At 41.1% G+C, this 21429-nt stretch overlaps 1 protein-coding gene across 25 annotated transcripts in view; it reads left to right on the forward strand.

Annotated features, from left to right (window-relative positions):
- Nucleotides 1-21429, forward strand: part of SNAPC3 (small nuclear RNA activating complex polypeptide 3) — a 43860-nt gene that overhangs the window by 14994 nt on the left and 7437 nt on the right. For 7 of the 25 annotated variants that reach the window (NR_161435.2, NR_161433.2, NR_161434.2 and 4 more), the window contains 5 exons: nt 6733-6837; nt 9226-9375; nt 13451-13533; nt 15172-15336; nt 20091-20198. Coding sequence is in view for 7 of the 25 variants with exons in the window: in XM_017015056.3 (XP_016870545.1) it covers nt 6733-6837; nt 9226-9375; nt 13451-13533; nt 15172-15336; nt 20091-20198 (611 nt within the window). In the remaining 18 variants the exon portion in view is untranslated. Of the gene's footprint in view, nt 1-6732; nt 6838-9225; nt 9381-13450; nt 13534-15171; nt 15337-20090; nt 20199-21429 lie in introns of all 25 variants that reach the window. The other 18 variants (NR_161447.2, NR_161446.2, NR_161438.2 and 15 more) reach the window with 10 other exon arrangements.

Raw genomic sequence — 21429 nt, forward strand, 5'->3', positions numbered from 1 at the left:
CTTCTGAATTTGCTTTGCTAGTATTTTGTTGAGATTATTGCATTCCTATTTATAAAGGGATATTGGCCTGTAGTTTTCCTGTAGTGTCTTTGTCTCACTGTGGTATCAAGATAATGCTGGCCTCATAGAATGTGTTAGGAAGTGTTTACTCCTTTTGAAATTTTGTGAAAGAGTTTGAGAAACTCTGGTATTAATTCTTTTAATGTTTGGTAGAATTTACCAGTGAAGTCATCTGGTTCTGGGCTTTTCTTTGTTGGGAGGTTTTTCATTGCTGATTCAACCTCCTTACTTGTTACAGGTCTATTTAGATTTTTTATTTCATTTTGAATCAGTTTTGATAGTTTGTATGTTTCCAGGAATTTGTCCTTTTCATCTAGGTTATCCAATTTGTTGGCAAACAGTAGTTCATAGTTTTCTCTTCTAATCCTTTTTTTCCTGTAAAATCAGTAGTAACGTCTCCACTTTTACTTCTCATTTTAGTAATTTGAGCCTTCTTTTTTCTCAGTCAGTGCAGTAAAAGTTTGTCAAATTTGATGTTTTCAAAGAACCAGCTTTTGTTTTTATTGATTTTTCTGTATTTTCTATTCTTTTTCACTTATCTCCACTCATCTTTATAATTTTCATTTTTTTTGCTAGCTTTGGGTTTAGTTTATTCTTAATTCCTTATCTAGTTATTGAGATTGTTCTTTTATATAAAGTTATACAGCCATAACTTTTTAAAATCACTCTTTTTACTATATCTCCCTAAGTTTCCTATGCTGTGATTTTTGTCGAGTGTTGTTAAATTTCCACATACTTGTGAATTTTCCAATTTTTCTCCTGTTATTGATTTCTAATATTCACTTAATGATCAGAAGAGTTACGTTTATTACTTTAATTTTTTTTAATTTAAGATTTGTTGGTGTATCCTGGAGAATGGTTCACATGCACTTGAGAAGAACCTGTATTCAGCTGTTGTTTGGAGAGTTCTTTGTATATCTGTTGGGTCTAATTGTTCTCGTTGTTCAAGTCTCCTGTTTCTTTATTGATCTTCTATCTAGTTGTTCTACCCGTTATTGAAAGTGGGGTATTAAAGTCTCCAACTATTACCATAGAACTGTCTATTTCTTCAATTCTGTTGGCTTTTGCTTCATATATTTTATTTTACTTATGTTTTTTGAGATAGGGTCTTGCTCTCTTGCCCAGGCTGGAGTGCGGTGGCGCCATCACTGCGCATTGCTGCCTCAACCTCCTGTGCTCAAGTTATCTTCCCACCTCCACCTCCCAAGTAGACAGGACTGTAAACTTGCGCCACTATGCTGAGTTAAGTTTTTGTATTTTTTGTAGAGATGGCGTTTTGCCGTGTTGCCCAGGCTGGTCTTGAACTCTTGGACTCAAGCAATCTGCCCACCTTGGTCTCCCATGCTTCTTATGTTTTAGAGTTCTGTTGGCTTTATATAAGTTTATAATTGTATATATCTTCTTGCTGGATGGCATCTTTTGCCAATATATAATATCCTTCTTTGTCTATTGAAACCTTAAAAAATTTTGTTTTTAGAGGTGGGTCTTGCTCTGTTCCCCAGGCTGGCCTCAAACTCTTAGGCTCAAGTAATACTCCCACATCAGCTTTCTGATAGCTGGGACTACAAACACATGCCAAAACATCTTATTTTTCTGTAACTTAAGGATTACTTTGTTTTTTTTGAGACAGAGTCTCACTCTGTCACCCAGGCTGGAGTGCAGTGGCCCGATCTCGGCTCACTGTAATTTCTGCCTCCTGGGTTCAAGTGAATCTTGTGCCTCAGCCTCCCGAGTAGCTGGAACTACAAGCACCCACCACCACACCCGGCTAATTTTTGTATTTTTGTAGAGGCAGGGTTTCACCATGTTGGCCAGGCTAGTCTGGAACTCCTAACCTCAAGTGATCCACCTGCCTCAGTCTCCCAAAGTGCTGAGATTACAGGTGTGAGCCACTGTGCCCAGCCAGGATTACAATTAAATCTTAAAATTGAAACAACTTACTTTTAATTATACACAGTCCTCAACCTACTGTGGTTTGACTTAGGATGTTTTGACTTTATGATGGGTTTATTGGGGTCTTAAATGCATTTTCCACTTGTGATGTATTTTATTTATGGGGTTTATTGGGGCATAATCCCATCATTGTTGAACATTTGTGTCAGTTTTGTTTCTATAATATTCAAATACTCTGCTTCCACATCTTTGTCTGTCCCTCTTTGGGTTGTCACAGATTATGTCTTTATATATTGTGTGTCCATTAACATAACCTTGTAAGTATTGTTTAATCCATTTATTTTGCAATCATATAGGAAAAACAGAAAAATCGTAGAGGAGTGAGTTACAAACCAAAAGTACAATAATACTGGCTTCTATATTTACCTGTGTTGTTCCCTTTAGCAGTATTCTTTATTTCTTCTTATGGCTTCAATTTACTGTCTAGTGTCTTTTCATTTCAGCCTGAAGAATCCTCTTTAACACTTCTTACAGGTCAGGTCTGCTGGTAGTAATTAATTCCCCTAGCTTTTGTTTATCTGCAAATGTCTTAATTTCTCCTTCATTCCTGAAGGATAGTTTTGCCAAATACAGAATTCTTGGCTGACAGGTTTTGTTTTTTTTCTTTCATGGGTTTAAATATGTCACCCAAAAAAGAAAAACAAAAGTAAAAAAATTTAAAAGCTGAACACAGTGGTGGGTTCCCATAGTCTCAGTTACTGAGAAGGTTGAGGCAGAAGGAGCACTTGATCCCAAGAGTTTGAGGCCAATCTAGGCTACATAGATAGATAGATTTAAAAAATCAGGGCCGGGCGCGGTGGCTCACGCCTGTAATCCCAGCACTTTGGGAGGCCGAGGCGGGCGGATCACGAGGTCAAGAGATTGAGACCATCCTGGCTAACACAGTGAAACCCCGTCTCTACTAAAAATACAAAAAATTAGCTGGGCGCGGTGGCGAGTGTCTGTAGTCCCAGCTACTTGGGAGGCTGAGGCAGGAGAATGGCATGAACCCGGGAGGCGGAGCTTGCAGTGAGCCGAGATAGCGCCACTGCACTCCAGCTTGGGCAACAGAGTGAGACTCCGTCTCAAAAAAAAAAAAAAAAAAATTGGTCAGTCAGTCCATCCGTCTATCTGCCCATTCTCTGGTTTCTTAACCTCCATGTTTTCTGATGAGAAAACTCCTGTTAATCTTATTGAGGAATCTGATTTTCTTTAAGTATTTGGTTTCCTTTAGCTAACTGAACACATTTTTAAAGTTGATACATAATGATTGTACAAATTTCTGGGGTACTCATTGAGCACATTTAAGTCAGTTGCTGTAACGTCTTTTTTTTTTATTTAACGTTATTATTATTTTTTTAATTTCATTTTCTTCATTTTATTTCATTTATATACCCTGAAGTGGGATGACTGAATCATGTAGTAGTTCTACTTTTAATTTTTTGAGAGACCTCCGTATTGTTTTCCGTAATAGCTGTATCAATTTGCATCCTTGCCAACAGTGTGCAAGAGTTCCCTTTTCTTTTTTTTTTTTTTTTTTTTTTTTAGTATTTATTGATCATTCTTGGGTGTTTCTCGAGGAGGGGGATTTGGCAGGGTCATAGGACAATAGTGGAGGGAAGGTCAGCAGATAAACAAGTGAACAAGGGTCTCTGGTTTTCCTAGGCAGAGGACCCTGCGGCCTTCTGCAGTGTTTGTGTCCCTGGGTACTTGAGATTAGGGAGTGGTGATGACTCTTAAGGAGCATGCTGCCTTCAAGCATCTGTTTAACAAAGCACATCTTGCACCGCCCTTAATCCATTTAACCTTGAGTGGAGACAGCACATGTTTCAGAGAGCAGGGGGTTGGGGGTAAGGTTATAGATTAACAGCATCCCAAGGCAGAAGAATTTTTCTTAGTACAGAACAAAATGGAATCTCCTATGTCTACTTCTTTCTACACAGACACAGCAACAATCTGATTTCTCTATCTTTTCCCCACATTTCCCCCTTTTCTATTCGACAAAACCGCCATCGTCATCATGGCCCGTTCTCAATGAGCTGTTGGGTACACCTCCCAGACGTGGTGGCGGCCGGGCAGAGGAGCTCCTCACTTCCCAGAAGGGGCGGCCAGGCAGAGGCGCCCCCCCACCTCCCGGACAGGGCGGCGGCCAGGCGGAGGCGCTCCCCACCTCCTGGATGGGGCAGCTGGCCAGGCAGGGGCTGCCCCCCAACCTCCCTCCCGGACGGGGCGGCTGGCCAGGCGGGGGCTGCCCCCCACCTCCCTCCGGGACGGGGCGGCTGGCTGGGTGGGGGCTGCCCCCAACCTCCCTCCCAGACGGGGCGGCTGGCCGGGCGGGGGCTGCCCCCCACCTCCCTCCGGGACGGGGCGGCTGGCCGGGCGGGGGCTGCCCCCAACCTCCCTCCTGGATGGGGCGGCTGGCCGGGCGGGGGCTGCCCCCCACCTCCCTCCCGGACAGGGAGGCTGGCTGGACGGGGCGGCTGCCGGGCAGAGACGCTCCTCACCTCCCAGACAGGGCAGCTGCTGGGCGGAGGGGCTCCTCACCTCCCAGACGGGGCGGCTGCCGGGCGGAGGGCCTCCTCACTTCTCAGACGGGGCGGCTGCTGGGCGGAGGGGCTCCTCACTTCTCAGACCGGGCGGCTGGGCGGAGACGCTCCTCACCTCCCAGATCGGGTGGCGGCCGGGCAGAGGCGCTCCTCACATCCCAGACGGGGCGGCGGGGCAGAGGCGTTCCCCACATCTCAGACAATGGGCGGCCGGGCAGAGACGCTCCTCACTTCCTAGACGAGATGGCGGCCAGGAAGAGACGCTCCGCACTTCCCAGACTGGGCAGCCAGGCAGAGGGGCTCCTCACATCCCAGACGATGGGCAGCCAGGCAGAGACGCTCTTCACTTGCCAGACGGGGTGGCGGCCGGGTACAGGCTGCAATCTCGGCACTTTGGGAGGCCAAGGCAGGCGGCTGGGAGGTGGAGGTTGTAGCAAGCCGAGATCACGCCACTGCACTCCAGCCTGGGCAACATTGAGCACTGAGTGAAGGAGACTCCGTCTGCAATCCCGGCACCTCGGGAGGCTGAGGCTGGCAGATCACTCGCAGTTAGGAGCTGGAGACCAGCCTGGCCAACACAGCGAAACCCCGTCTCCACCAAAAAAATATGAAAACCAGTCAGGCGTGGCGGCGCGCACCCGCAATCCCAGGCACTCGGCAGGCTGAGGCAGGAGAATCAGGCAGGGAGGTTGCAGTGAGCCGAGATGGCGGCAGTACAGTCCAGCTTTGGCTCGGCATCAGAGGGAGACTGTGGAGAGAGAGGGAGAGGGAGACCGTGGGGAGAGGGGGAGAGGGAGAGAGGGAGAGGGAGCTAACGTCTTTGTTTAGTGGACTTTTATTTATGTGCGAATGTAACTATTGCCTGTAGGAATAATTAATTGACACTTTGACTAGTAATTCCAATGTCTGGGCTTCCTCAGGGTTGGTTTTGTCAAATTCTTATTTTCCTAAGAGTTGTCCATACTTTCCTCTTTTTTTGTGATTTATATGTTTTTTTGAGAACTAGACATTCTAGGTATATTTTCTCTTGTGCATGGCTGGAGCTGCCTGTGACTTTTCCAAACGATTATTGTAGCACGTGTATTACTTGTTGTACGTGGTCACTGATGTTTCTGTTTCATTCTCTCTGCGGTCAATCAGTGATCTGACAAAGATTTCCTTAAATACCTGGCTCCAAAAAGAAAAAAAGCATCTTGTCTGTAAGTCTTCCAATATAGATCCTGCTGGGGGAAGCTGCTGCCACCAAGAGGGTCAAAACCAATGCACGTACCTGGACCAGGCACTCGGCATCACCAGACCAACCAAAACATAAAATCCTCAGTTCTTAGAGAACAGGTCCCCACTGCCTGCCTTGGCACCAGCCAGCTTCTCCAGGAATTCCAGCTGCCTGTCTCATCGGCGAGGGGCGAAGGAGTGAGGGTGGTAGTTGATTTGCACACAGTGCTTACTAATGAAAAGCAGCAACTTCTCTCGTCATCAAACACTCCCCTGATTGTTGTAAGTGTCCCATCAGGTTCCAGAGTTCCCAAATAGTTTATTCCAGTCTCTCATTCCAGCTTACTGGTTGCTTCTGTTAGAGGGACTAGGCCCTGGAGCTGCCTACTCTATTTTGTGACATGATTCCCACTTATTTTTAAAACTCCTGCATCTAAACCAGTTCAGCCTGGCCCCTATTTTATATTAATTTAGCACACATAAAAGATCAAAATATATTAAAGATGTCATGGTGTTATAAAAAGCATAGGGTTTAGAGCCAAACAAATCCGTATTTGCGTCCTAACTCTGGTATGACCTTGAGTAAATCACTGAACCTCTGAGCTTTATCTGTAAAATAGCTTTCACAGGAATATTTGATAAGGAATGTAAAAATGTAACTGGAAATGCCAGTGTTATACCAACATTAGTTGATACTCCTGTTTGCTCATCAACTGCTAAGTACTCAGTACCACACATCTTATCAGATGCATTGTGTACACATTCCCAGCAACAGTACAGTAAGTATTTTCTGGTTCTGTTTGTTTATTGAAAGAAGATGAAACTAAAGCTTAGAGATGTCTTAACAGTTTTCCCAGAGTATAATTAGGTGTCAAACCCAAGGCTGCTTGACTCGATCCCTTGCTGATAGCCATTGTACCACACTGCATCTTATCTGAGTTATAGTATCTGATTTCAGTGTCTCTTTTTCTTTCTTCAGGAGTCACATGCCATAGGAAAAAAGCCTGAAAATTCAGCAGACATGATTGAAGAAGGGGAGCTTATCCTATCTGTGAATATCTTGTACCCTGTTATATTTCATAAGGTAAGTAGTAAAACCTTTTGGATTTTATGGATAATAGTAACTTTTGTAAAAGTGTTTAATTATTTGAAGAGTCATATTCCTATGCTTACATTAAAAATAAACACTCTGGGAGTGGTGGCTCATGCCTGTAATCTCAGCACTTTGGGAGGCCAAGGCAGGAGGATCACTTGAGGCCAGGAGTTTGAGACCAACCTGGGTAACACAGTGAGACCTTGTCTCTACTAAAAATCAAAAAAATTAGCTAGGCATGGTGGTGCACATCTGTAATCCCAACTACTTGGGAGGCTGAGGTGGGGAGATCACTTGAGCCTAGGAATTCAAGGTTGTAAGCGAGCTATGATTGCACCACTGAACTCCAGCCTAGGAGACAGCGTGAGACCCTGTCTAATAAATGCAAGCATATGCTGCCTATCTGATGTCTTATTTTTAGAGTTGACAATCTATAATCTTGTGCCATCTGTTCTAATAAGGAATATTGGAAATAAGGTCAAATTTCAAACAATCTCTCGATCCAGTAGGATTACAGGTATAGTATTGAAATATATGCCTGATTTCTGCACTAGAAGCAACTGAAAGTATATGTAAATCCATAATGATTCTAATTCTACTAATTCTTGAGGGATTTTTGCAGAATAGGTGGCTAATGGAGGAATTAGCCTATGTTCACTAATTTAGAATACTTGGGAAGTTATTGAACTAACCAGAGACAGCTCTTCTTTGATGAAAATACAGAACATTATTAAGTCAAGGGTATCTAGGAATCTCTTAGGAGAAAGAACTCTTTCCTAGGCCAGAGTGTATATATTCTTGATTCCTTAAATAGATGTGTCATAAATTCTGATGAGTTGTCATTGAAATATTAATATATATATAAGTTGCACTTATGAATAAATAGGCTTTTACAAAGCATCTGGGATGTAGTTAATACTAATCTTATTTGATTAAGATCTCAAATTGCTGGCTGGGTGTAATGGCTCACACCTATATCCTCAGCACCTTTGGAAGGCTGAGGTGGGCTGATCACTTGAGCTCAGGAGTTCAAGATCAGCCTAGACAAAGTGGCAAAACCTCATCTCTACAAAAAATACAAAAACTAGCTAGGTGTGGTGGTGTGTGCCTGTAGTCCCAGTTACTAAGGAGGATTGCTTGAGCCCGGGAGGTCAAGGCTGCAGTGAGCCAAGACCATGCCATGGCACTCCAGCCTAGGTGACAAAATGAGACTGTCCCTCACCGCCACCCCCTTCTCCCCAGAAAAAGATCCCAAATGACCAATCATAAAAAGAAACCAAACCAAAGTATGAATCTGGGTTTATAACCTCAGGTTACAGTATAGATTGCCTGACCTCAATGAAGTAACTTTTAGGAAATTTTAAGACAGTCTTGCTAAATGAAGTTACATTCCAGTGGATCTTAATGCTCATGTCAGTTTGGTATCATCTTGATTATAAACTTCAGTTTAAACCAGAAAATTTCCATGGCTGAGTATGTCAGTTGTACCCATGGGATTTTTGTTGGTTTGTTTGTTTTTGAGACAGGGCCTTGCTCCATTGCCTAGGTTGGAGTGCAGCAGTACAATCATGGCTCACTGCAGCTTCGCTCGAGCAATCCTCCTGCCTCAGCCTCCCAAGTAGCTAGGACTACAAGCATGTATCACAACGCCCAGCTAACCTTTAAATTTTTTGTAGAGATGGGGTTTTGCTATGTTGCCCAGGTTGATCTTGAACTTCTAGGCTCAAGCAATCCTCCTGCTTCGGCCTCCCAAAGTGTTGGGATTACAGGCATGAGCCACTGTGCTTGGACATTCCATGCTATTCTAATTTATGGAGATGACTGAGTGATGACATGGAGAGGCTATAATGCCTTTGAAAGGAGATTTTTATTACATTTCCTTAGAGGAGGGGGCACACCATGTAGGGCCACAGGAAGAAGCATCATTCTCATTTAGGAGGCTGAAAGGGGAGAGGGGAAGGCATAGACCACAGTTTTTATTGGGGTTTCTGTGGGAAAGACAAGGTAGGGAAGAGTAAACAGTTTAGGATTGGCTAGTTCGAACAATTCCAGTAGGTTTGGTGGCAGAGGGGCTGTCCCTTGTAGCCTGGTGCTTGGCCCTGGGTGGATTGAGGTTGAGGGAATACCAGGGGAAATAGTGGCTTGGTGTGTAATAAAGGAGGTGGTTTCAGAGTGGCTCTGGATCACAGGGGAGATGTAAACAATTTTGACCATGAGTTTGGCCCTATAATTATTGGATGTGAAAATACAGAGCATCAAGTTATGGGGACAATTTAAAATTAAGAAAACCAGCAATTTAATTTTGATCTAGTCATGACAGGATTTGTAGTTTTATCGCTTTGTCTCTAAATGAACACTTATTTATTCTTTGACTTTTAGCACAAAGAACACAAACCATACCAAACAATGCTGGTGTTGGGCAGTCAAAAACTCACACAACTGAGGGATTCAATTCGATGTGTCAGTGACCTCCAGATTGGTGGTGAATTCAGCAACACTCCTGACCAAGCCCCTGAGCACATCAGCAAAGTAAGGTGATTTCCTCCCATAAAACAAAAGGAAATAACAAGCTAAGAAAATAGCGATTACTCTAGCTGGTTCATAAATGTCCCAGTAAATCCTTTTCTTCTCCTGCGGGATTCCATCAAACTACACTATCTCATTCCTTCCCTTTATCACCGGAACTTTTCCAAAGAAGAGGCTAGACTCTGTTTTGATTTCTTCATCTCTCATTTGTTTCTAAACTATTGTATGGAGACTTTTCCTTCTGGGCTAATAGTGACCACCTAATTTTCTTTTTTGTTTTTTTTTGTTTTTTGTTTTTTTGAGACAGAGTCTCGCTCTGCCGCCCAGGCTGGAGTGCAGTGTCGCCATCTCAGCTCAATAGTGACCACCTAATTTTCTAAGCAGTTGGTCACTTTTCCATTTTTATGTAACTTGACCTCACTGTAGCATATGACTTTGCTGTTCATTCACTCGTTTGAAGCTCTGTCAGAGTTGTGATCTGTCATGATTGTGCCCAGCAAAAGGCTGGAGTCGACCTGAGAGCCTCAAATAGTTAGCACCCATTCTTCACCTTTCGCTGCCCAAGGACCAATACCCAACAAGGAGAGAGCATATGAAGTTGGTCCTTGCTGGTGTTTCCCCAATGTGTTGCTCTCAAAAGGAAAGAGAAGCCCTGCATACCCCCTGGATAAGGATGGAAAGAAGCAGTGTGGTAGACTGGCTACCCACAATGTTTTCAGAAAGGATCATTTACCTAATAAAGCAGGAGGGCCTTGATCCCTTCCACATTTCATCATAGGGCAGGATTGAACTAAACCTGCTACAACTCTGGCAGAGGGCCTCAGGTTTACAGGGCCATTTCAGGGGAGGGATAGCATCTCCTAGAGATAAGTAAAAAGATATTTGGAACAACAAGGATGGAGATAGTGTTTGGACAAGAACCAACACAATCTCCTTTTTTCCTGGGTCCTGTTCCACCAGCCACATAAATGTTGGTATAACTGAGGTTTCATGTTAACTTTTTTTTTTCTCCCTAGGCTGACATATAAGGCCTTTTATAATGATGCTTCCCAAATTAACTTTCTGAACTGTTTACTTGCTGCCTTTACACCTCATTCATCCATAGTGAATTTGTGTATTTTCATCAGTGTACCATACTTTTTCATGTCTCTGAGTATTTGAACATGGTAGGAAGCCCTTTCCCTACTTCATCCGTTTTGTGAGTTCATCCTCAGATTTCCAAACCCAGCTCAAAACTCACCAATTATATGCAATTTTTCTTGACTCCTTTCTTTGTTACCCTGGCACCTTTTCTTTTGTCCATTGTAGTATGTATTTCAGTATGCTGATTCAGTGTAATGTGTGTCCGTCTGCTCCACAGGCTGACTATATTCGTTTTTGGTGACTAGTGTGGAGACTAGCATATGGCTCACATGTAGATTTCACTTAAGTACCTGTTGAGTTATGCTGAAAATGGTTTTTAGATATTTAGGTTCTTCAGGGTTGCCATCTCAGTGCTTTTGGAGAGAAACAATAGGATAAGAAAAGTAGAATTTCAAAATTTTACGCGGAGCAGGAAATACGAGATTTATCTTTTTCTTTCTTTTTTTTTTGGATGGGGCTCTGTTGCCCAGGCTGGAGTGCGATGATGCAATCTCGGCTCACTGCAACTTTCACCTCCCAGTTTCAAGTGATTCTCGTGCTTCAGCCTCCCAAGTAGCTGGGATTACAGGTGGCCCCACTGCGCCCAGTTAATTTTTGTATTTTTTAGTAGAAACGGGGTTTCACCATGTTGGCCAAGCTGGTGTCGAACTCCTGACTTCAGGTGATCCACCCGCCTCAGCCTCCTAAAGTGCTGGGATTACAAGGTGTGAGCCACCGTGCCTGGCCAAGATTTTTCTTTAAAGCAGCGGTGGCAATCTTCTGCAAAGTTTTTTAACCTTGTCAAAAAAAACGTAAGATGTAACTGTTAAATAATAAGATCAGTCTAAGAAGAAAAATCTGAATTTACCCTCTTCACTCCAACCATCTGAACATTGCTCAAAGCAGTTTGAGTCAGATCTGGGAATCGGTCTTACCTTCAGGAAACCCTGGAGAATGTTTGTCTGTCTGTTTTTTAATCAAGTCCAGTCTGGGCAACAACTCACTGTGTTGCCCAGCAGAAGGTTTTAACCAGGCTTTGTCAATTTACTTGGTCTGTACATTGCTGCTGATAGCTTCGGAAGTTTTTTAAGCAGGGATTAAATAACCCATAATTGTATTTTAAAATGTTTACATATCTCCTGTTATATTGTTTCTGTCTCTTCTATTATTATTATATATATATATATATATATATATATATTTTTTTTTTTTTTTTTTTTTTTTGAGACAGAATTTTGCTCTTCTTGCCCAGGCTGGAGTGCAATGGCACCGTCTCGGCTCACTGCAACCTCTGCCTCTCGGGTTCACACGATTCTCCTGCCTCAGCCCCATGAGTAGCTGGAATTACAGGCATGCACCACCATGCCCGGCTAATTTTTGTATTTTTAGTAGAGATGGGGTTTCTCCATGTTGGTCAGGCTGGTCTTGAACTCCCAACCTCAGGTGATCTGCCCACCTCAGCCTCCCAAAGTGCTGAGCCACCAGGCCAGTCAGGGAAGTTTATTAGTGGATGACTTTTGATTTAAATGGAAAACATTTTTGTTCTTTTAGAGTTCACCTTGTAATTAATAATTATGCCAAAAGATAGTAAGTTGCTTAAATCACCTAAGATGAAGTTTTATGGCAGTGTTTTGTAAAACACATATATATTAAACTTCATTTTGTTTCCAAAATAATAGTTATTTTTTTAGAACCTTTATTTTGGACCCTGCTTACCTCTTTGAGGGTGTAGAAATATATTAAGTGGCAGATTTTGTATTGTAGCAGCTAGTCATATGACATTAAGTACATTATACTTAATGTACATAATCTCCATAACAACCTATGAGGAAAGTAAAGGCTTTACTCACATTTTACATGGGAAAACAGTGTGAGTGAGATTTAGTGACTGGTCCAAGAAGAAACAACATAGCCAGTCTTGCAGGAGTGTCTGATGCGAACACAAGATAATCTGTAAGTGGGGGAATGAAGACAAGAAAGAAAAATGGAAGCTTCAAAGAACTAGGAGAAAAATTAAAATATTACGGTAAAATTATTTTAGTACCTGAAACATATCTCCTATACATAAATTGCTTTTGATCTTCACCACAATCCTGTAAGACATCGTGGCAGATATTATTATTCTCATTTCACAGATGAGAAAACAGGTCTGAGAAGTGATTGCTACATACCAAAATCACAAAGCTAGTAAGTGGTAGATTAAGGAAAAGAACTCAGGTCTTCTGACCCTCATTCAGGAGTCTAAATAGAAGGTGAAGGACCAGTTTAACAGAGTGCTTCTCAACTCTGGTTGCATGTTTTTTTCTAGAGAGCTTTGGAAAAATACTGATCCCCAAAGATTCTTAATTAATGAGTCTGAGTTGACACTTGTGTTTGGTGTTTTTGTGATTTGATTTTGCAGTCAGGATTGAGAGCCACTCCTTTGACGGACACTGTGGTAGAATGAGTTAAGAACCCTTGAAGGTTCCAACCAGTTGTGGTACAACTACAGTACCTGGGGCAAGATTGCTTGAGTAAAAATAGAAATTCAGATTCTGTCTGCCTAAGAGTTACTGAAAATATAAAGAGAGAATTTTTGTAAAAACATTGCAAATACAAAAAAATGCCAGAAAAACATAGCTCGATGATCATTGTTACTACTGGGGAAACATTAAAGATAGGACTTTGTTTAGGTTTTAGTTCTAGTATCCAACACTACTTACTGCTCTGTAAGTATAATAAAATAATGATGTTTATTTGATTTCTAATTGGGTTCCTTTCATGAATCTCAGGAGAATATACACATTTAGATCAAACGTAGTGATTATAACAGCAATAGGGTAAAATTGAAAATAGTAGCAGTTTTTTAACACATATTAGTGTGATTTTATGATATATCTATTTTGAATTAATACTTAGAGCAATTTCATCATTGTTAATAGTTGATTTTCTCTCAATACAATCTGTTTTCTTGTAGGACCTATACAAATCAGCCTTCTTTTATTTTGAAGGAACATTTTATAATGATAAAAGATACCCAGAATGCAGAGATTTGAGCAGGTATAGTTTCCAAAAATCTTCTCAAAGTCTTTCCTATTTCTAGTTATCAAAGTAGTGTTATCTCCACAAATCCTATTATTGGCCTATTAAGGACCTTTGCCAAGGAATTATTGATAAATCTTGTCTTTTGCATTACATACATCCAAAAAAAATTAGCCAGACACAGTAGTCCCAGCCACTCCGGAGGCTGAGGCAGGAGAATCTTTTGAGGCCAAGAGTTCAAGGCTGTATAGCATGCTATAATCTCGCCTGTGAATACCCACTGCTTTCCAGCCTGGGTAATATAGCAAGACTCTGTCTCTAAAAAAAAAATAAATAAATCACCTTAACATGCATTATTAGTCTCTGGCCTTTACATATAAGTAATAGTGGCAAATTAACCTTTCACTATTTTTTCTGCCTATCCAGCATATACTATTGTTTGCCCTAGGTGATGGTGATATATATATATTGCTTAAGTACATAATATAGGAAAAATCTGTAAGCTCATTTTAATGAGACCATACTTTCATTATCAATGTCTTAACAATTACAGTATACAAGTATATATATTATTGTTGCCCTTTTTAAAAAAAAAAAATGAAAAAGTCTCGTTCTGTCACCCAGTCTGGAGTATGGTGGCACGATCTCAGCTCACTGCAGCCTCTGCCTCCCAGGTCAAGCCATTCTCGTGCCTCAGCCTGCCAAGTAGCTGGGACTACAGGTGTGTGCCATCATGCCCAGCTAATTTTTGTATTTTTAGTAGAGACAGGGTTTCAACATGTTGGCCAGGCTGGTCTTGAACTCCTGGCCTCAAGTAAGCCGACTGCATCGGCCTCCCAAACTGCTAACGTTACAGGTGTGAGCCACAATGCCCAGCATATTGTAGCCATTTTTAATCTGTATTCTAACCCAACAGTTCAAACCTATTGGTTTCAGCATTTTTTTTTTTTTTTGAGACAGTTTCGCTCTTGTTGCCCAGGCTGGAGTGCAATGGCGCGATTTCGGCTCACCACAGCCTCTGCCTTCCAGTTTCAAGCGATTCTCCTGCCTCAGCCTCCCCAGTAGCTGGGATTACAGGCAGGCACCACCACGCCCGGCTGATTTTGTATTTTTAGTAGAGATGGGGTTTTTCCATGTTGGTCAGGCTGGAGTCGAACTCTGGACCTCAAGCGATCCGCCCACCTCGGCCTCCCGAAGTGCTGGGATTACAGGTGTGAGCCACCATGCCCAGCCTTGCATTTCTTTATACTATAAATAATTGAAGACCCCAATGAGCTACTGCTTATGTGGGTTATAACTATCACTATTTATAATATTAAACATTGAAACTAAGAAGTATTTGAAATATTAATCTCATTACATACTAACATTTTGTGAAAAATATTTTTCAAAACACAATGAGTGGCATTGTTACACATTTTGCATTTAAGCTAAAGTGATGCACATCATGTAACCTGCAGAAAACTGATCCCTTATGAAAATTCAGCGTTCCTAATCTCAACATGTGTCAAACATTTTGGTCTTCATCTCAAGATGGCAACTGTCCAGTTAGTTGGGTGAGCTAGGTTAATGTGAATTACTGCAATCACAAACTGTTTTCTGTAGTTTTTAAGTTTTTGTGGAAAAATGATATATCCTTGCCTTTTCCCCCCTCAGAACTATCATTGAGTGGTCAGAGTCCCATGATAGAGGCTATGGAAAGTTTCAGACTGCTAGAATGGAAGATTTCACCTTCAATGACTTGTGTATTAAACTGGGTTTTCCTTACTTATACTGTCATCAGGGAGACTGTGAACATGTCATTGTCATTACTGACATAAGGTAGGTGACAGCACTTAAGACATTTTGTTACCTTTTTTTTTCTTTATTTCAGAGTACAAAACCAGAGATAGTTTTTTTAAAAATAAGAGGAGTAAAAGTAATAACCATTGCAACTTGGCTTGGGAGCAGCAAAAATACTGTCTTCTTTCCATGCAAATACCAACTCTTTCCATCCATTTGCATCCTCTATTGTTCATTATTTTGGAAAATCTTTAAGAAATACTTTACTATTAGACGGTTAAAAATCTGTTAATACTTTAAAAAGTATCTCTATTTTGTATTAAATAGCTGTTATTCAGATATAGTACTTATCCATTTATATATAACATTGCAACTTTATTTTTAGGTTTGTCTTTTTGCCAAAATTTGAAGAAGATAAAAGGGAATTGGAGGAAGAGTAATTCTAATATTTGACAAATGTGAAGTCTTAATGCTTTGACAAAGATTTAAATTGGGAAGGAGCTAAGATAGTCTAAAATAAGACTTAGGGATGAGTTATAAATTTTAGACAGCTAATAGCTCTATTCCATGAATAAGGCTATTCATTTCCTCTTTATTTAGGAAATCACAGTTTAAGAAGGAATACTATGTACGAATAAACCCTGCTCCATTGCTGGTTTGATTCCTTATGAGAGACCATTTAAAAGTTTTTTGTGGAACAATAATGTACCTGTGTTTGACCAGTAATTAGAAACCAGTAATTACTGGTATTAATTAGTAATTTATTATACCACTAATAGAAACTGATGCCTGCCGGGTGCAGTGGCTCACGCCTATAATCCCAACACTTTGGGAGACTGAAGTGGGCAAATTGAGCCCAGGAGTTCGAGACCAGCCTGAACAATATGGTGAAACCCTCTCTACAAAGAATACAAAAATTAGCTGAGCATAGTGGTGTGTGCCTGTAATCCCAGCTACTCAGGTTAAAACGTGAGGATTGCTTGAGACCAGGAGGTCAAGGCTGCAGTGAGCTATGATCATGCCGCTGCATTCCAGCCTGGGTGACAGAGTGAGACCTTGTCTCAAAAAAAAAAAAAAGAAAAAAAGAAAGAAGCTGATGCTTTCAGAAAGTCCCTGCTTCCATTTTTGGTCTTACTGACTCTTCTCCAAAATTTTGTATCCCATGCACTCCATCTCAGGAAACTATCAGAAGATGTAAAAGTGCTTCACAGAAAGTGTAAACCATGAACAAGAAAGACATGGAATGCAACACAGAATAGGTTAAATAGACATAAAAGGGATTCTCAGAATTATGGAAAAGTGAAATCCCAGTGTGAGAGCTTTACACCAGACCCAGAGATTTGATCAAGGGTCTGGAGCCAGGAGCATACAGAACTCAGGAAGGATGTCTGGGAGGAAAAATAGAACTGGTAGACTCCCGGTTGTTCACTGTTCTGTCAGAAAATAGGGGACTGAATTCGTGACAGGTACACTGAAAATTAAGCAAATGGGCCAGGCCCGGTGGCTCACGCCTGTAATCCCAGCACTTTGGGAGGCCAAGGCGGGCAGATCACGAGGTCAGGAGATCGAGACCATGCTGGCTAACACAGTGAAAGCGTCTCTACTAAAAATACAAAAATTAGCCAGGCGTGGTGGTGGGCACCTGTAGTCCTAGCTACTCGGGAGGCTGAGGCAGGAGAATGGCGTGAACCCGGGAGGTGGAGCATGCAGTGAGCTGAGATCGTGCCACTGCACTCCAGCTTGGGTGACAGAGCAAGACTCCATATCAAAAAATAAATAAATAAGAAAATTAAGCAAATGCAAATGGGAGAGAATTAATAGATTAATAGCTACAAAACAAAATGTCGTCCAACAGATGTCAACTGTGTGGCTTAGGTAGAAGTAGCAGTAATTCGTCCTGAATTAAATATCTGTTTAACCAAAATTATGGTAGTTCTGTGGTGAGAAGTTGAGGAGCTAAATTCTAAACAAACAATTAAGAATGGAAAACAATTGCCCCTAGGGAAGAAGAATGGGGAGGCAAGAGCCAGAAGAATACATAAACCTTGGATTTATATGACTTTTAAAATTATAGACAGTACATTTATGTCTTTGATGTTATTAAAATTTTATATCAGCAGCCTGGCATGGTGGCTCATGCCTGTAATCCCAGCACTTCGGGAGGCCAAGGTGGCCAGATTACTTGCAGTCAGGAGTTCAAGACCGGCCTGGCCAACATGGTGAAATCCTGTCTCTACTAAAAATACAAAAATTAGCCAGGTGTGGTGATGGGCGTCTGTAGTCCCAGCTACTTGGGAGAGTGAGGCACGAGAATCACTTGAACCCGGGAAGCGGAGGTTGCAATGAGCCAAGATCGTGCCATTGCACTCCATCCTGGGTGACAGAGCAAGACTGTATCAAAAGAAAAAAAAAATTATATAAGCTGTTCTGCCTGCTCTTCCTTTCAAATGTGGGAAAATGTGCTGGCCTTGTAATAAACATAAGATGGAAGGCAATCCCCTATTCTCTCTGATGGCCTTATTTTTCATATATTTTTCTTTTTTTTTTTTTGAGACGGAGTTTCGCTCTGTTGCCTAGGCTGGAATGCAGTGGCATGATCTCAGCTCACCGCAACCTCTGTCTCCTAGGTTGAAGCAATTCTCATGCCTTAGCCTCCCAAGTAGCTGGGATTACAGGCACGTGCCACCTTGTCCGGCTAATTTTTGTATTATTTATTTATTTTTTTGAGACCGAGTTTCGCTCTTGTTGTCCCAGCTGGAGTGCAGTGGCGTGATCTCGGCTCACCACAACCTCTGCCTCCCAGGTTCAGGCAATTCTTCTGCCTCAGCCTCCCGAGTAGCTGGGATTACAGGCATGCGCCACCACGCCCAGCTAATTTTGTATTTTTAGTAGAGACAGGGTTTCACCATGTTGGTCAGGCTGGTCTCGAACTCCCGACCTCAGGTGATCCGCCCACCTCAGCCTCCCAAAGTGCTGGGATTACAGGCGTGAGCCACCATGCCAGGCCTAATTTTTGTATTTTTAGTAGAGACGGGGTTTCACCATGTTGGCCAGGCTGGTGTCGAACTCCTGACCTCAGGTGATCCGCCCATGTCGGCCTCCCAAAGTGCTGGGATTACAGGCAAGAGCCACTGCGCCTGGCCTTTTCCGTACATTTCTTATAGTGTAGGCCTATTTCTATAAACAACGTGATTCCAAGGCTGAAGGATAAAAACATGACCATTAAACTCATGGTAACTTCTTGATACAGTGATCAACAAAAGAAACATGATTTGTTTGAGTGTCAAAGACAAACAATTTACACTTTTTTTTTTTTCTTGAGAGGGGATGTCACTCTGTTGCTCAGGTTGGAGTGCAGTGGCAAAATCATGGCTCAATGCAGCCTCAACCTCCTGGGCTGAAGTAGTCGTCTTCCCTCAGTCTTTCCCATAGCTGAGATTATAGGCATATGCCACCATGCCTGGCCAATTTTTCTATTTTTTGTAGAGACAGGGTCTCACTTTGTTTCCTAGGCTGGTCTTGAACTCCTGAGCTCAAGCGATCCTCCTGCCTTGGCCTCCCAAAGTGCTGGGATTGCAGGCGTGAGCCACCACATCTGCCCTTTTATTTTTTTAAATGGTTTACATTTATTAAGAGTATGCAATGTAGGGCTTTTTAAAAGGCCATTTATAGAAGTCATTTTTATCTTACAGGTGGATTTAATCATTCATTGCCATTCCATAATACCAACTATCAAAAGGTTAATTATTTTCTGATGGTGAAAGTTTTAATTTTAAAAAAATCAAATTTTAGAATTGTTAGAGACCTTTAGAACAATTTTGTGTAGTCCTTTCATCTTTCAGAAGAATCTGAAGTCTGTCATCATTTAAAGGATTTACCCAAAGCCATGGAGCTGATTAGTGGCAGAGTAGAGATTGACTTCCATTTCTTTTTTAATAAAAATTATGAAACTTCTTAAAGGTTTCATAATTCTGATACTTAAAACTAAGATTCTACCAATTCATATTATGCCAGGAGTCAGAATTAGATTTTAATAAAGGAGACATTAAAAAAACAAGAGGCACATTGTAACAACCAGTTAATCTAGGTAAAATATCACTGAGTAGCTTTGCCCAAATTATGTTTCATTACAAGGTACTAAATGTTAGCCAGGTGTCGTGGCTCACAGCTGTAATCCCAGCACCTTGGGAGGCTGAGGTGGGAGGATCGCTTGAGACCAGGAGTTTGAGACCAGCCTGGACAACATAGTGAGACCGTGTCTCTACAAAAACTTAAAAAATTATCTGGGTGTGGTGGTGCATGCTTGTAGTCCCAACTACTGGAGAGGCTGAGGTGGGAGGACTGCTTGAGCACAGGAGTTTGAGGCTACAGTAAGCCAAGATCATGCCACCGTACTCCAGCCTGGGTAACAGAGTAAGACCCCATTTCAAATAAATAAAAATAAAAGGTACTAGTGTTAAGCAAAGCAAGGATTCTCTGGTAGAATACATTCAAGAAATGCTCTACATAATAACTCCCTCTTAAGGGGGGATCACAGTGTACATTACCATAAAGGGATTTGAGAAGCCTAAGGAAAGAAAACCTTGTTTAATCCAAAATGCTCTTGGAGAAAGTATTTTGTGGAACAGAATTTGGTGAAACATGGCATAACAAGTAATTCAGCAACATCTTGTAAGCAAAAATTGAAAGTATCTATTTTCCTAATACTCAGGCACAGATATATTTAATAGCTCATAAAAATTTGTCACTTAATATTTGTCACCTTAATATCTTTATTTTCCCACGAACAAAAGGCTTGTGCATCATGATGACTGCTTGGATAGGACATTGTATCCCCTCCTTATCAAGAAGCATTGGCTATGGACCAGAAAATGTTTTGTTTGTAAAATGTATACAGCCAGGTGAGTGATAATGTATTTTTTTTTTTCTCTGAGAAATGGCAGTTTTGACTTTTGGTATTTTGTTTTCCACTTTGGATCTAAGAATATTTGTACTTTAGGTTATAAATATGAAGTATCATCTAGTAGGGAAGTGCCAGAAAATCAATTTAGTGAGTTAAAACTAACATTCTTAAATAGTCAGGAAATATTATATGTACACAAGTCCAGGGATAGGTCAAATTTCAGGCTTGTAAAATGTATACAGCTAGGTGAATAAAAATAAAAGTCACTAGTGTTAAGCAAAGCAAAGAATTCTCTGATAGAATACATTCAAGAAAAGCTCTGTACAATAACTCCCTGTTAGAGGGTCACAGTGCACATTACCATAAAGGGATTTGGGAAGTCTAACCAAAGAAAACCTTGTTTAATCCAAAATGCTCGAGAGCCATGTTCTTTCTGCCTCTTGTCCACATAGTTTACATAATCAGCTTCATCAATAAAACTTCATCAATAAAACCACAGTACATCACATGAAGTTAAAATATAGTTTTATAAAATTTTTACTTTATGTGATTCTACATGTTTAGATTATAAGGCATTTCTTACTGTGGGTCAGTAAAAAAAAAATTTGTTGCTTTTGGAGGCTGAGGTGGGAGGATCGCTTGAGGCCTGGAGACCAGCCTGGACAACACAGCAGTAACTATAAAAAACATATAAAAAAAATCTGAAAGCCACTCAGAGGAAAGGAAATTTAGTACAGGTTGAGCATTCCAAATTTCAAGATCAGAAATCCAAAACCTGAAAGTGTTTGAGTGGCAACATCTGATGCTCAAATGATCATTGGAGCATTTTGGATTTCAAATTCTCAGTGGGATGTTCAACCGGCAAATATATGCATAATATATTTAAAAATCTGAAAAAAATCTGCAATTTGAAATACTTCTTTTTGATCCCAAGCATTTCAGATAAAGGATACTCAACTTGTATCTTCAGTTTGTTTTCGCCACCCCACCACAATATTCTTTTCTGAAAGATCAATAGGAAAACATGATAAATCAAAGTGAAAATAATGTTAAAAGCAAACATTCCATGAGATGCAGAATTCAAACATACCATACAATAGCATCTTCATGCCATTCAACATTTTGGTTGAATAATGTTGCCCATATTGCTATTTGTATATACTTTATAACATAATCTTGAGTTCTAGGTAAAAAGAGTTATATAGTTTTCAAATTAACCAGTACTCATT

This window comes from Homo sapiens, chromosome 9 (assembly GCF_000001405.40).
Source record: "Homo sapiens chromosome 9, GRCh38.p14 Primary Assembly".
NCBI lineage: Eukaryota > Metazoa > Chordata > Mammalia > Primates > Hominidae > Homo > Homo sapiens.